This window comes from Homo sapiens, chromosome 5 (assembly GCF_000001405.40).
Source record: "Homo sapiens chromosome 5, GRCh38.p14 Primary Assembly".
NCBI classification, from domain to species: Eukaryota; Metazoa; Chordata; class Mammalia; order Primates; family Hominidae; genus Homo; species Homo sapiens.
In genome coordinates, this window is record NC_000005.10 from 64,830,680 (window position 1) to 64,844,259 (window position 13,580).

The window sequence follows — 13,580 nt, forward strand, 5'->3', positions numbered from 1 at the left end:
GACAAAGGGCTAATATCCAGAATCTACAAAGAACTTAAACAAATTTACAAGAAAAAATCAAACAACCCCATCAAAAAGTGGGCAAAGGATATGAACAGACACTTCTCAAAGGAAGACATTTATGCAGCCAACAGACACATGAACTCATCCTTTTTTATGGCTGCATAGTATTCCATGTTGTATATGTGCCACATTTTCTTAGTCCAGTCTATCATTGATGGACATTTGGGTTGGTTCTAAGTCTTGCTATACATTTATTGAGCATCTGATGTGTGATTAGGGCACATTTAAAAATGATATGTCTCAGCTGGTTCTTCAAGGATTTGAATATGTTGTCTATTATATTATGTTATGCTTGTATCAGTAATTGCCTTACATTACAAATATGGTTTATTTTTGAGCCACACATTTGATTTTGTGTACTTCAGACATTCAGTAGTGCTCAAACAGGTTTACTCCTCATCAAACCTGTGATAGTTTTCTAGCTTATTATTTCTATTTTCTGCTTAGTGAAAATGCCATTTTTCAAAATGTTGTATGACAATTTCTTGAATTATAGAATTATAATTGCTAAGGTAATTTTCATGTTTGCTGGTTAGTACATTTTCTTCCCCTTAGGGAAGTTGAAAATCCCTACTTTCCTCCCCTCCCCCCACCACCATGTGTATATATACACACTCACTCACACTTGTAGAAGAGAGTGTAGTTTTATTCAGCATTTCTTAAAGTTTTTGGCCTCAGGACCCTTTACAATCTTAAAAATTATTGAGGACTCCAAAAAGCTTTTATTTATTTGAGATAGATAGATAGATAGATAGATAGATAGATAGATAGACAGACACATAGATAGATATGGATATAGATATAGATATTTACTTTATTAGAAATTAAAACAGAAATTTTAAAAAACATTTGAAAAATTACCTATAAGGTTTTATGTTGATTACCTGGGTGACAAAATTATCTATACACCAAACCCCTGTGACACACAATTGACTCATGTAACAAACCTGCTCATGTACCCCTTGAACCTAAAATAAAAGTTGGAAAGGAAAACTAATAATAAACTCCATTAAATCTTCACATAAAAAACATACATTTTAGAAAAAAATAACCATTTTGCCAAAAAAAATTGAGTGGTTTTATTTTACATTTTTATAACTAATAACTGGTTTAATAGAAGGCAGCTGGATTCCTATATCTGCCTCTTTATTCACTCTGTTGTATGTACTATGTTGTCTTGGTCAAGCTGTAGAAGGCAAATCTGGCTTTACATAGATATATAATGTGAGAAAGGAGGACTATTTAATAGCACATATATTTGTGGTTATTCTTTTTTTAATACTTAACCAAAACTCAACAAGTAGTAATTTCTTATAAGTTGCATGCAATGTAAAATCTAAAACCAAATAAATAAACCCTTCCTAGTCTCTTGTACATTAAAATCCATTGGTTTATTTTGCACTTTAAATGAATCTTTTACCCATGTGTGATTTTGTAATATTGTGCATTAGTCATGTGGAAAGCATTGATCCATCAAGTTATGCAGATCTTCCAAATGTTGATACATCTTGTTCTGTAATATCCAAAAAATCACATTTGTTAATGTCATCCCTTATTTTCAAAAACATCTTTCAGTGTTTCGGTAATTCCAAGGTAGTGGTTTTGAGTTTTCTAAAATTCCAACTTTTGCTTGAAAGCTCAAATTTTATTATTGTCTACTAATAGTTTGTCTTTTTTTTTTAAATGAGAAGTTCACTTTGTTTCCAGATTAGAATAACAAAGTTTGTCAGTTTTTCTTTCAAATATCGAGTATACCATAAAGAAAACCAGTTTTAGCTCACAATTCATATATTCGCACAAGTGTTTTTCTTCAAAACAACTATCATACTTATGTCTGCAGTAGAAGTGCTTTGTGCATACTTCTGTTCCATAACACAAAATACTGTATTCAAGTTGGAACTTCATAAAATTAATATTTTTTTTACTGCTTCATCAAGGATATTAAATGAAACTGGCATTTTTTAAAAACTACTGTGAGCAGAGACAAATACAATGACTTTTAGACTTTGCTACACCGCTTTGACTCATGCAGCAGTTGTACCCTCAGTACAAATGTCAAAACAGTGAAAGAGCAAATCACATTTAATATTATTAAAATACTATTTACCTCATAGACGCTCTTGAAATGATTTCAGAGTTTCCCAGGGTCCACAAACCATACTTATGAACTGCTTATATAGTGGCTTAAGAGCATAGAGCACAGACTCTAGGACCAAACAAATCTGGCTCTGCCGAGCTATGAAATCTAGAGATCTAGAGCAAGTTGTAACCTGAGTTTTCTCGTTTGTAAAGTGAACTTATAATAGTATTACATTATAGGATTTGTGTGAAGTTACATGATTTAAAATATGTAAAGCTCTTAGAACAGTAACTGGTAGATGGTAAGCCCACGTATTTCCAAATTATTTTGTATTATACACACATACCCCCCCACACAGATTTATGTATGTATTCCATTGGTTCTGGATATTTGAAAACTCCATTCAGGTTCATCTCACTGCTTTCAAATCAGCTCATGCTTAAACCAGAACAGATAAATGACACATAGTTTAGTTCTAAAGATCCTCAGATACAGTTCTTTCTGTATTTTGTTTATACTATTTTAGGTTGTAAAGCACCCACTTTGAATTTCTTTGATATCAGCGATGGAGGAATAAATGCCACCATCTGTATATAACTGGATTCTCTTATTGACCAATGCATGCTTTTGAGATTATTCCTTCAGCAATTTAAATGTCCTTGAGAGGTATTTGGTGTGGTATAAAGAGGTTGTTAGATTGTTTTGCACTTCAGTGTTAAGTGATGGCACAACTTGGTTAATCTTAGAAGTTAAACAACCACTTGTATTGTTCTATGTAGGCTTTTATTTTCAGTTTATGTATTCTTTGCAACCTAGATTTATTTGGAAGTTGGTAACTCAGGGACATACTCAAATAGTTTTGATTTTCTTTTTCCTGTGACCTTCACCCAGAACTTTGTGCTGAAGCTAGTTACCATTTTTGCCACACAATGTAGGAGAATGTTGAGTGTCTGAATATAATCAAAATTATTCTTTCCTTAAGTTAGACCCATCATTTATTCAGAACATATAAGCTCTTAATTGCTCCTGTCTTTCTTGAACATTTGCCGGAACTTCTGATTGAAAGTAAAAGTACCTAACCATACTTTTGGGGCCAACAGGAAACTTTATTATATTGATCATTAATAACACTGGATGAAATTGTTCTGTTAGAATAGTAAATGAGAATTACCAAAAATAATATGTATAGTATCACTAAACATGAGATGGAGGAAAAATCAGCTGTGAATTGTTTTATGGAAGCAATCTCAAAAGTTGTCATGCCCCTCGCTTTTTTTTTTTAAAGAAATCACATTATATCATGAATATTCAAATACATTCTAAAGAAAGTAAAACCAAATTAAGAAAAAAAACTTTCAGGCTTTATTGAATCATATCTGTTTGCGTAATAAGGTAACAAGTACAACTTTTTTCTGTGATTTTTGTAACCAGCTGCATAACTCTGCTCTTTTCTGATTTGAACTTTCAGTGAACTCCTCTGTAAAGCTCTGATATTAAGTCTCCTCATACTACCTTAGTATTCTTTTATGTATCATAAACACAAAGATAACTTTTTCTTTCTTTTTTAAACTAAGGGAACTTTGATGTAATTTTCTAGGTCCCTCCAAGAGATCTGGAATAACCTCATATTTTGTTTTAACCTCATGTTTATAATTTAGTTTTTGGAGTCCTATGAAACACCTTTCACTCTAAGTTAAAGTAGATGATAATCACTCTTGTTAGTTTGGCCAAAAGGTAATGCTCAGTACAGTGACACATTCAAAAAGAAAGTGGAGCGATTTCCAAGCATTTATCTTAACTGTATTTTTACTGATATCTGCCCTTCCTTGTCTTTCTGCTGTTTGTTTCTGTTGAAACTAGAGTGTTTCTTTGTAAACTCCAAGGACACATGTGTATTCTATACCTAGGATCCAAAAGTTTCCCATTCAAATGCTTATACTATCCTGTTTCTTCAGGCTGTGTACACCTAAGCTCTTAATCCTTTCCCCTGAGCCATCTCCAAAAGCAAGCTTTATATTTGGTGAAGCAAGAATTGTTTCTAAAGATTGTCCTTGGATTCAGTTGTAGAACAGGAAAAGAGTTTGCAATTCTGGGAGTGTCCCTGGGTCCTACCGCCAAAACAACTGAAGGTTTCTGGAGATTGCATAGTATAGAAACCTCTTACATAGTATAGAAACCTCTTGGTAGTATAGAAACACATCTTTTAAAATCCAAATTAACAAAACAGAAATGGATAATTTTATAAAAAATATTTTTTCTTACGGGTTTTACATTTATAAGGGTAATTTTATTTATTTTTGTGAATAAAAAGCTATCATTTCAGGCACATAATAGACTGAAGAAAGTTTTCTAACAATAGATGATTTCCACAAAAATTATTCACTGTGCATTAACATAATGTCTTTAGAGAGTTGTTCTAATATCAGAATTAGAAATTTTAGTTTTCAAAAATTTACTGAATAAATAAATATTTCTGTGTAAAGTAAAAGTCCAAATCACATTTTATAAAGGATTATAGACTAAGTCAGTGTTCCTATTTCCCTTTACATGGATGTCCATAAAGCAAATGTAATCCTGGCTATGGATGTCTTATGCATGCAAACCCTGTAGATTGCTGAATGTTTGGCAAAGATAATTATATATTTTGGCTTGGCATGTGGAAACAGCAAACTTTTCCACTTTCCATTATGTAAATTAGCAGTGGAAATAGCTCTATATTTCTCTATGATGTGATCTTGCTAAATATAGGTAATGTAGATTCATTTCTATTAGAAGGAATAATTTGCCACGAACTGATGGTCAAGTTTTTGGTATAACTTAAATATCATTTTGATATTTGTTCATTGTGTGGAACCTCAGTCTCTTTTAACAATGTATTTTTTTCTCCTGAACATCTAAGTCATTATAGGCTCTAGCAAAATTGATTAGACTTTTCTGATGACTTTTGTTTTATATCTTCATGTTTTATATTTTTTATGAAGAAAACCACTGTATTTTTGCCTAAGGAAAAGGACTTGAGTCTTGTCATGATATGTGTTGCTTCTATATCTCTTGTTTCTTTGTGAGCCTATCATAATCCTTGGGACTGCTGAAATGTGAGCAATCAAACTGAAACAAAGATTTAAAAACTATAAGTTTAATTTTGGTGATAAAATGATTAGACATTAAATTACCTAACCCAAGAAGAAAATATTTAATGAAGCAATAAAGTAGTTTATAAATTATATCCCACTATCAGTTTAGCAAGTATTTGAATATTATATTCAAATAAGTAAAGTTACATTTAAGCCACCCACTCAGATGAGAGTATATTCTTTTCACATTTATAGATAATAATGGTATAATTTAGTGAACCTTAAGCAAATAGTTTACAATTAAATTTAAATATTGCTGAAGCCCCTCTTTTTCCTCAAAGTGCTTAGAAATGTTACACCTTTGAGGTAACCTAATGTTCATTTGTGGCTCTAGAAGACAATGGACAGGAAAGAGAAAAGTTAATCTCAAGGCAGTCAGGCACAAATAGCACTGATTGCCTGTTACTTTGCAAAGCATTATGTGGTATGTTCTATTTTTAAATTTCACTTTACTGTTTTTACTTTCATTCAATTGTTAATCAGAAATATCTCCTCTGTGGAGATGTTTTTATCATTCTTGGAACTGCATGGAGATTTCCCTTTAATAATACTACTGTTTGCAGAAGTCCCAGGCATGTGACCTTAAAACAAAACAAAACAAAACAAAAAGGCAAATCATTTTCCTACTTTTAGTATGTGGTTAGGAATGAGTTGGCTCATTCACATCAAGCCTAATTTGATGTGAGTTAGTATGAACCTTTGACAAAATCCATGGTTTAGAATTTAGACTGGAAGGAGACAATAAATCTTACTGTTTAAATCACCCAACAGAGTAACAGTACTGTTTGTAACATTTCTCCAGCCTTCTTTCCCAAATCTGTTACTCTGTGATGTAAAGCCTTGGTTACTTTTCAGTACTTTTAAATTTGTTTGCAGAAGGTGGAACCCAGAAAATGTGCCCATCATTGAGTGCTCTAAGTTTAGCTGAGGAAAGCAAGGACGTGGTAATATTTCTGTTCCAAAGAGTTGTATTTATCTGAGTTACAGGACTGGTTTACATAAATGAGAAACTAAGATTTTCCATACACCAGGAAAAGTTTCAAAAGGATGGCTTTCGTGCTTGCCACTTCATACCCACCAAATGTTACAAACAAATACTCATGTCTGCAGTAAGACATTTGTGGGTGTGCGTAATTGCGGTTCACAAGTCATTCAAGCTCAAGTCTTTTCCAGGTACAAATGAGAAACCCTCAGAAAATGAGGCTCTCTCTGCATTTTTGGAATGAGTTCAGCTATTAGGTTTAAGAATTTATTTTTTTGCACAAAAGTAGATATATCAGAGGGTCTTTTGTTTCAAGAAGGAGTTCTAACACCTTTGGTGTAAAATGGCATTCTTGTAATCTTTATCATATGTAACTACATTTTTGGTTGTTGAGATTAGGAGTTGAAGATGTTAAGCTCTTCAATAGCCTGCATAGTTTTAATTAACTTTTAAATAAGCAGACCTTTTGTAGACAGTTAAGTTTTTAATGTGACTCCATTGCTTACTTTGGCTACTAAAGTGTCAAATTTGGTTCCAAAACTCATGAGAAGATTCAAAACTCATTCTCTTTTTTTTTTTGTGAAGAAACCAGAAAATATTTCAATAAAGTTACTGGGTTTAATATCTAGCATTAGTCTTATCTCTTTTAAATAGCAAAATGACTTTGTCTTAGCAAGAATATGAAGCAAGTTCAGGGTTAAAGAAATTCATTTTACCATTTTACCACTGTATTTTCCATTTTGACATTAAAAAAAAAGCCAAACCTCACCTCACGGGGGTCTCTCTTATTTAGAGGTTTACAACTTAGTTAAGCTATGTAATTTTGCTGAACATTTTCAAACTACAAAATATGAAATAGTTGTCGCCGATCATAGAAACCTCTTTACTTTCAAAGTATTTTTGAAGTTGAAAACTTTTCATAGTATTTCCTTCAGAAGACGTTTTAACCTTTTCAGTCTTTTGGATGTCATACCTAAAAAGTTGAAGTGTCCCTCAAAAAGCACCTTAGTTAATACTACATTTTTCCTAGAGATTTTTAGATGTCTACATTTATCCTGTGCAGAAGTTCAGCTCCTTAGTGACTTTTCAACTAATCAAATAAGCATTCTCTACAATTAGTGTTGGTCATATAGTTGATTTATTCCTTAGGAATTAGCATTACTTATTTGATCAAAGTCATTAGATTGCTTTTACTATCTTAGTTTTCCTCTAAATCTTGTACAGCATTTTGGGTAGGTTATGGATTGACAGGAGGAGAACATATACACATACATATGTACATTCACATGTGTGCTTTTAGCTTTATGTTTCCAATTTAGTTAACCAAAGATCCGATGTTTTTAGAAGTAAAGTCAGAGTTGAAACAGATGCAATATATCAGCATAATTTCTCTTCATCACAAAGGCCCTCAATAGAGATAAACAGCTGCTAATAACAATATACATATAGATTATGTATATACAATATACAGATAGGGTTCCTGAACCAGGAAAGTTCATTTCTTACTATGTCACTGCCCTTTTTAAGTCACTATTCTATAAGAGCTAACAATCTGTGGGCTATTGCATTTTCATCACTATTCCAGGGAACATGAACTAATAATCTGTGGGCTTCCTTTTAAGGGAATGTTTATAATTACCAGAGTTTCCTGGTTGTTGAAGTGAACTCAGTGTCAGCAAGGACATGTTCTCATCCAGAGGGAGAAAGCAGAGCTAATACCCAGGTGTTCTCTGCCACAAACTTACAAGTGCTCCGGAAAGCCCATTTCCCCATAGGTATTAAAGCTGAAATTTATAACTTTGAATTTTAGAGTAACCCAGTAAGCTCTTGATTATTTTATGTTAGAGAAAAGGACAGAGAAGTATGGCAAACAAAATTCACCAAATTTGTAAAATCACTTATGTTTGGATTTAGAATGATTTTTATACTCAGGTTTGAATGTAGCCATATCTGTCATATCTGCTTAGGGGATTTATGAAAAATAATCAGTCATACTATGAAAATAATCAGTCATACTATAAAAATTTGACCTAACAGGAAGTGAGAAGCTGTTTGGTCTATCTCTTTTTGATGAGAAAAGAATATCTTTCAAAAAACAATGGAAGGTGGGGCCATTTTCAGAACTTTAATGGAATCCTTTTTGTGAATTCCTAACTTCTGTCTGGCATATACTAGGTGCTCAGGAAATGTTTATTGAATGAGTAAATAAGTGAAGTACTTGTATTCATTGAGGGCTTTAAATGTGTGAGGTGCACAGAATTTAGATATATGAGGACAAAGTCTTGACTCTTAAAATATTTGTTGAGAAGAAACATTCATTCAGTATTCATCTACTGGATTTTGAATTGTGATGGCCGTGTGAAGCATTCAAGAATGAAGAAGATGAGAGTTTGAAAGGCTATAGTATACAGAAGTATGTAATGGGTGCAGGGTTAGAAGCTTGTGAGTAGTTATATATGATACAAGCAGTGTTAAGGAATTTAAGGCAAGAATAGTTGACTTTTGTGAACAAGGAAAGCTTAATGGAATAGGTAGCATTTAAGCTAGGCCATAAATGTAGCAGGATGAAGCAGGTAGGAAGTAATTTATTTTTGGAGGGGACTTGAGAAAGTACTTGGAAACGAGAAAGCACAGGGCCTGATGAGGGCAGGGCACTGTAAAAGGCCTAACTATCTCCACAGGAAAATACTGGGAATAGAAGTGTTGGGCTGGAATGTAGAGATCTTGAAGCAGACTATTTCGGCTTTCTTTTGGGATCTATTTAATATTTTTGAGTACTATCTTAATGAGATAGATTACAGTGGGGGAAGACTAGAAGCAAAAAGATCAGTTAGGAATCTGTGGCACTTATCTAAGGGGGAGATTAAAGCTCTTGAAAAAAACACAGAAAAGATGGGGAAAAGTTGGTTGTGAAAAAAGAAGTGGCAACTTGACATGGGAACTGATTGAGTGACCAAAGAGGAAGCAGCCAAAGAGGACTCCTGACACATCCTATAAAGGGACATTGTAACTTCAGGGTCATATGTGGCCAGAAGACTGTAAATTATAAACCCCCTTAGATCTAGTCTCTAGGGGCTCTCTTTGGAGGAAACTAGTGCATATAGGCTCCCTGCCAGGGACATAGCCCTTCAGGCTTGCCCTCTCCAGAGCTAAATCTCTGAGTCTGTGGCTGGGAATTAGGAGCCAAGTAGTCAGTGTGGTGGGAAAAAGTGGCTTAGTGTGCCAAGTAGAGAAGTGAGCACTGCAGAAGCTGAGATGACGAAGACCAACAGCAGGAGCCAGACAGTAGAGGAATTACTGCTGCACCCAAGCAATGTCCTCAAGGGATGGGAAGATGAAACTTTCCCAAGGACTGAGCAGAAGGAGTTGGCAGAAAAGAGGGTTGATTGTTGTTGGCCTTTGTGTGTTTTTATCCTTTTTCATTAAAAAAAAAAAAAAAAAAAAAAAAAAAAAAAAATATATATATATATATATATATATATATATATATATACTTATTAAGGACATTTTAGAAAACAGAGGCAGGTAAAAATGGAAAAAAAACTTTTTTTCTATCTGCATAGAACTCTTAATATTTTGGCATAATTTTACAAGTCTTTCTATGAGGCAGGTTTTTTTCAGCTGAAGGTAACAGTATGTACCACATAAATGCAAAAGATAGCTATTAATGCTATTGTTTGTTACTGTTAGTTTACAGTAAGTAGACAGTAGTCAAATCATAAAAGAACTTGTATTTTGTTGGGGAGCTACTGAAGAATTTTCAGCATGGAAGGGGCATGATCAGATTCATATTTTAGAATGGTTTCTTTGGCCTAAATATGAACAGTGGATTAGAAGGCCCTGAGGCTTGAAGTCTGGAAATCAGTTTTGAGGCCGGATCATAAGGGGCTAATCAAGGCATTGGGAATGGCTAGGCCAGGGGTAAGGGGACTGGATACCAAAGAAATTTGAGAGCTTTGTAAGGGAGAATTGACAGGATGTGGGGACTGACACATTGTGAAGGTAGAAAAGCATGCTATAGCTATCTCAATTAGGTGTCCCACAGGGACTTCAAATTCAACATTTCCAACACAGAAATTGTAATCATTCTTACCAAATTTATACCCTGTCTATCTTTGTCCATTTTCTGCTGCTATAACAGAATATGAAAGAATGGGTCATTATAAGCAACAGAAGTTTGTTTGGCTTTATAGCTCTGGAGGCTGGGAAGTCCAAGACCATGGTGCTGGCATCTGACGAGAGCCTTTGTGCTTTGTTAGCCCATGGTAGGAGGAGGAAGATGGAAGACTGAAAGACAAGTGAGGGTGCAAGACAGAGGGAGGAAATAAGTCCAAACATCTTGTTTCAGGAGCTCACACCCATAATGATGAACCTATTCACATGATAATGGCATTAATCTACTCATGAGGGCAGATTGCTCATGGCCTAATCACCTCGTAAAGATCCCACCACTTAATACCATCACAATGGCACTTGAATTTCAACATGAGTTTTGGAGGGGACATTTAAAACATAGCACTGTTCTAGATTCCCTCTCTCAGTGAATATACCCTTACCCACCTAGTTACCAAGCTAGAAATTTGAAAGTCATCCTGAAGTCTTATTTCTGTAATATCTATCACTACATCTAGTCAGTCACCAAAACCTATCAGATCTTCCACATAAATATTTAAGAGTCTTTTTTTATATCTTTGTTACCTCTGTATTTGCCAAGTTTAGGTTTTCTTTGTTTTGTGTTTTTGTTTTTGTTTTTTGAGGTGGAGTTTTGCTCTTGTTGCCCAGGCTAGAGTGCAATGGCACAATCGCGGCTCACTGCAACCTCCGCCTCCTGGATTCAGGCGATTCTCCTGCCTCAGCCTCCTGAGTAGCTGGGATTACAGACCTGTGCCACCATGCCCAGCTAATTTTTGTATTCTTTTTTAGTAGAGATGGGGTTTCTCCATGTTGGTCAGGCTGGTCTCGAACTCCCAACCTCAGGTTATCCGCTCACCTTGGCCTCCCAAAGTGCTGGGATTACAGGCATGAGCCACCACGCCCAGCCAAGTTTAGGTATTTACTTTTGACTTAAAATAGTAGTTGACAAACTGCAGACTACAGACCTAATACAGCCTGCCATCTATTTTTGAAATGTTTTAATAGAATATAGCCATTCTTTTACATTTTGTCTATTGCTGCTTTTATGCTACGATGACAGATTTGAGTAGTTGTGATTGAGACCATGTGGCCTACAAACCCTAAAATATTTATTTAGTACTATCGGGTCCTATACAGAAAGTTTGCTTACCCCTGGTTTACAATAGTGTAATATAACTGAATTCCCTACTTGTAGGCTTCAATCTGGCCTTTCCTACATTGATGTTTTATTTTATTTTTATTTATTTATGAGACAGAGTCTCACTCTGTCACCCAGGCTGGAGTGCAGTGGCGTGGTCTCAGCTCACTACAACCTCTGCCTCCTGGGTTCAAGCGATTCTCCTGCCTCAGCCTCCTGAGTAGCTGAGACTGCAGGCACCCGCCACCATGCTGGCTAATTTTTTGTATTTTTAGTAGAGACGAGATTTCACCATGTTAGCCAGGATGGTCTCGATCTCCTGACCTCGTGATCCACTCTCCTCAGCCTCCTAAAGTGCTGAGATTACAGGCGTGAGCCACTGCTCCCAGCCTATTTTTTTTTTTAATTAGATAGGATCTTGCCCTGTCACCCAGGCTGGAGTGCAGTGGCATGATCTTGACCCACTGCAGCCTCCGCTTCCCAGGCTCAAGCAATTCCTCCCACTTCAGCCTCCTAAGTAGCAGGGACTGCAGGTGCACACCACCATGCCCGGCTTATTTTTTGTATTTTAGGTGGAGATGGGGTTTCGCCATGTTGCCCAAGCTGGTCTCAAACTCCTGACTCAAGCAATCCGCCCACCCTCACCCTCTCAAAGTGCTGGGATTACAGGCGTGAGCCACCCTACCCGGCCTTTTTCAAGTTCTAATTGTTTCTCAAGATTCTTTTGCCAATAAACCCTAAATCTCAGTCTTCAAGTCCTTTGTAATGTTTCACCTTAAAAGGAATCATTTATGTAAGAATAATCAATCTCCATTAATGTTAATGTTACAAGGTTTACTCTTTCAAGGTTTTGTGTAAGGATTTTTTGATTTATCTGTGTTTTTCTAAAATGATATTTCTTGAAAAGCCTCAGTCCACTGGTTGTCAGTTGTATATCTCAGTACAAAGGAAGATAGTAAGTATTTTTGCCAGACATTAGCTTTATTTGTTCAGCAAGAACTCTGAGATTTTCTAAGATTTTAATACCTCTACTGTTTTCATTTATTTTGTGACTCTGAAAAGCCCACTACCATATGTTATCAGGAAACTCAAGAGAGCCTTTCTTTGACTTCCAGATTCACAACAATAGAAAAAGTTAAAGATAGCCACTTTCTCGGAAAGAGAGAATAGAATCAAGGATTTGCTGCACATATGTGGGAGTATTGATATTAACATCTCAATTCTAATTAACTCACATTGAGACAGTTTTTTGAAGTGTTAATGCATTTTATTTGTAGGTTTAGTCTCAAACAAATTCCACTAATGACATAACTCCCAGGAGAGATTAGCAGTATCCAGAAATCAGTCCACTTTTTATCCTCCACCCAATTAAAATATAATATTATGTAAATGTTTTGACATATCTATATCTAGTAGGAAGAATTATAACAGAAGAGAAAAACCTTATTTTCTAGGCAAACAAGTGAAATGAATTGGTAGATTTTAATCTGGAGAAGTTCACAGGCACTTAAAAATTACTTGCTTATCTTTTTCTAAACATTAACAGAATTTTTTATAGTGCTGGAAAATCAAAATGGAAGTATAGTTATAGTCATTTAAATACCTACATGATTTTTTAAAATGTACAGGGTCTGGTGCCTAGTGACATCAGCAAAATAACAGAAGAGGAAGTCTCAAGCTCCACTTCCATGCCCTGCCTCCCACTGCTGCCCCTCCGCCACCCCGCAGCCCCGACCCACAAAGTTCAGCTAGACTAGACTAGAGCATCCTTTTGAAAACTGCTACACTTGGAAACAAGCCTGAGATACCTGCATGATTTTCATAACTGAATAAAACCTGAATTAGAAGTGTAAGAACGGTCTTATTCCAACAGTGCTGCCCCTCCCCTTCCCTTAAGTCAAGCACAACACCAGATGGAGATTTTTTTCCCTGAACCCAGAATTTCAACAGGGGGGAAGGGAATTGGATGCAGTCATCCAGCATACCTAGCATTCTGATATGCTTCTTATGAAACCCACTCCGAAGCAATCAGCATGGCTAGACTGCCTG

The 13,580-nt window shown here is 35.3% G+C and overlaps 1 protein-coding gene across 4 annotated transcripts in view, besides 1 other annotated feature; it reads left to right on the forward strand.

The window, feature by feature from the left end:
* CWC27 (CWC27 spliceosome associated cyclophilin) overlaps window positions 1-13,580 on the forward strand; it is a 249,846-nt gene that overhangs the window by 61,762 nt on the left and 174,504 nt on the right. The gene's annotated exons all lie outside the window — the stretch shown is intronic.
* Window positions 3,769-3,969: a silencer, noted in NCBI's record as "peak5266 fragment used in MPRA reporter construct". NCBI's record gives its function as "represses an SCP1 promoter by STARR-seq MPRAs in K562 erythroleukemia cells {active_cell/tissue: K562}" and the evidence as "EXISTENCE:reporter gene assay evidence [ECO:0000049][PMID:32103011]".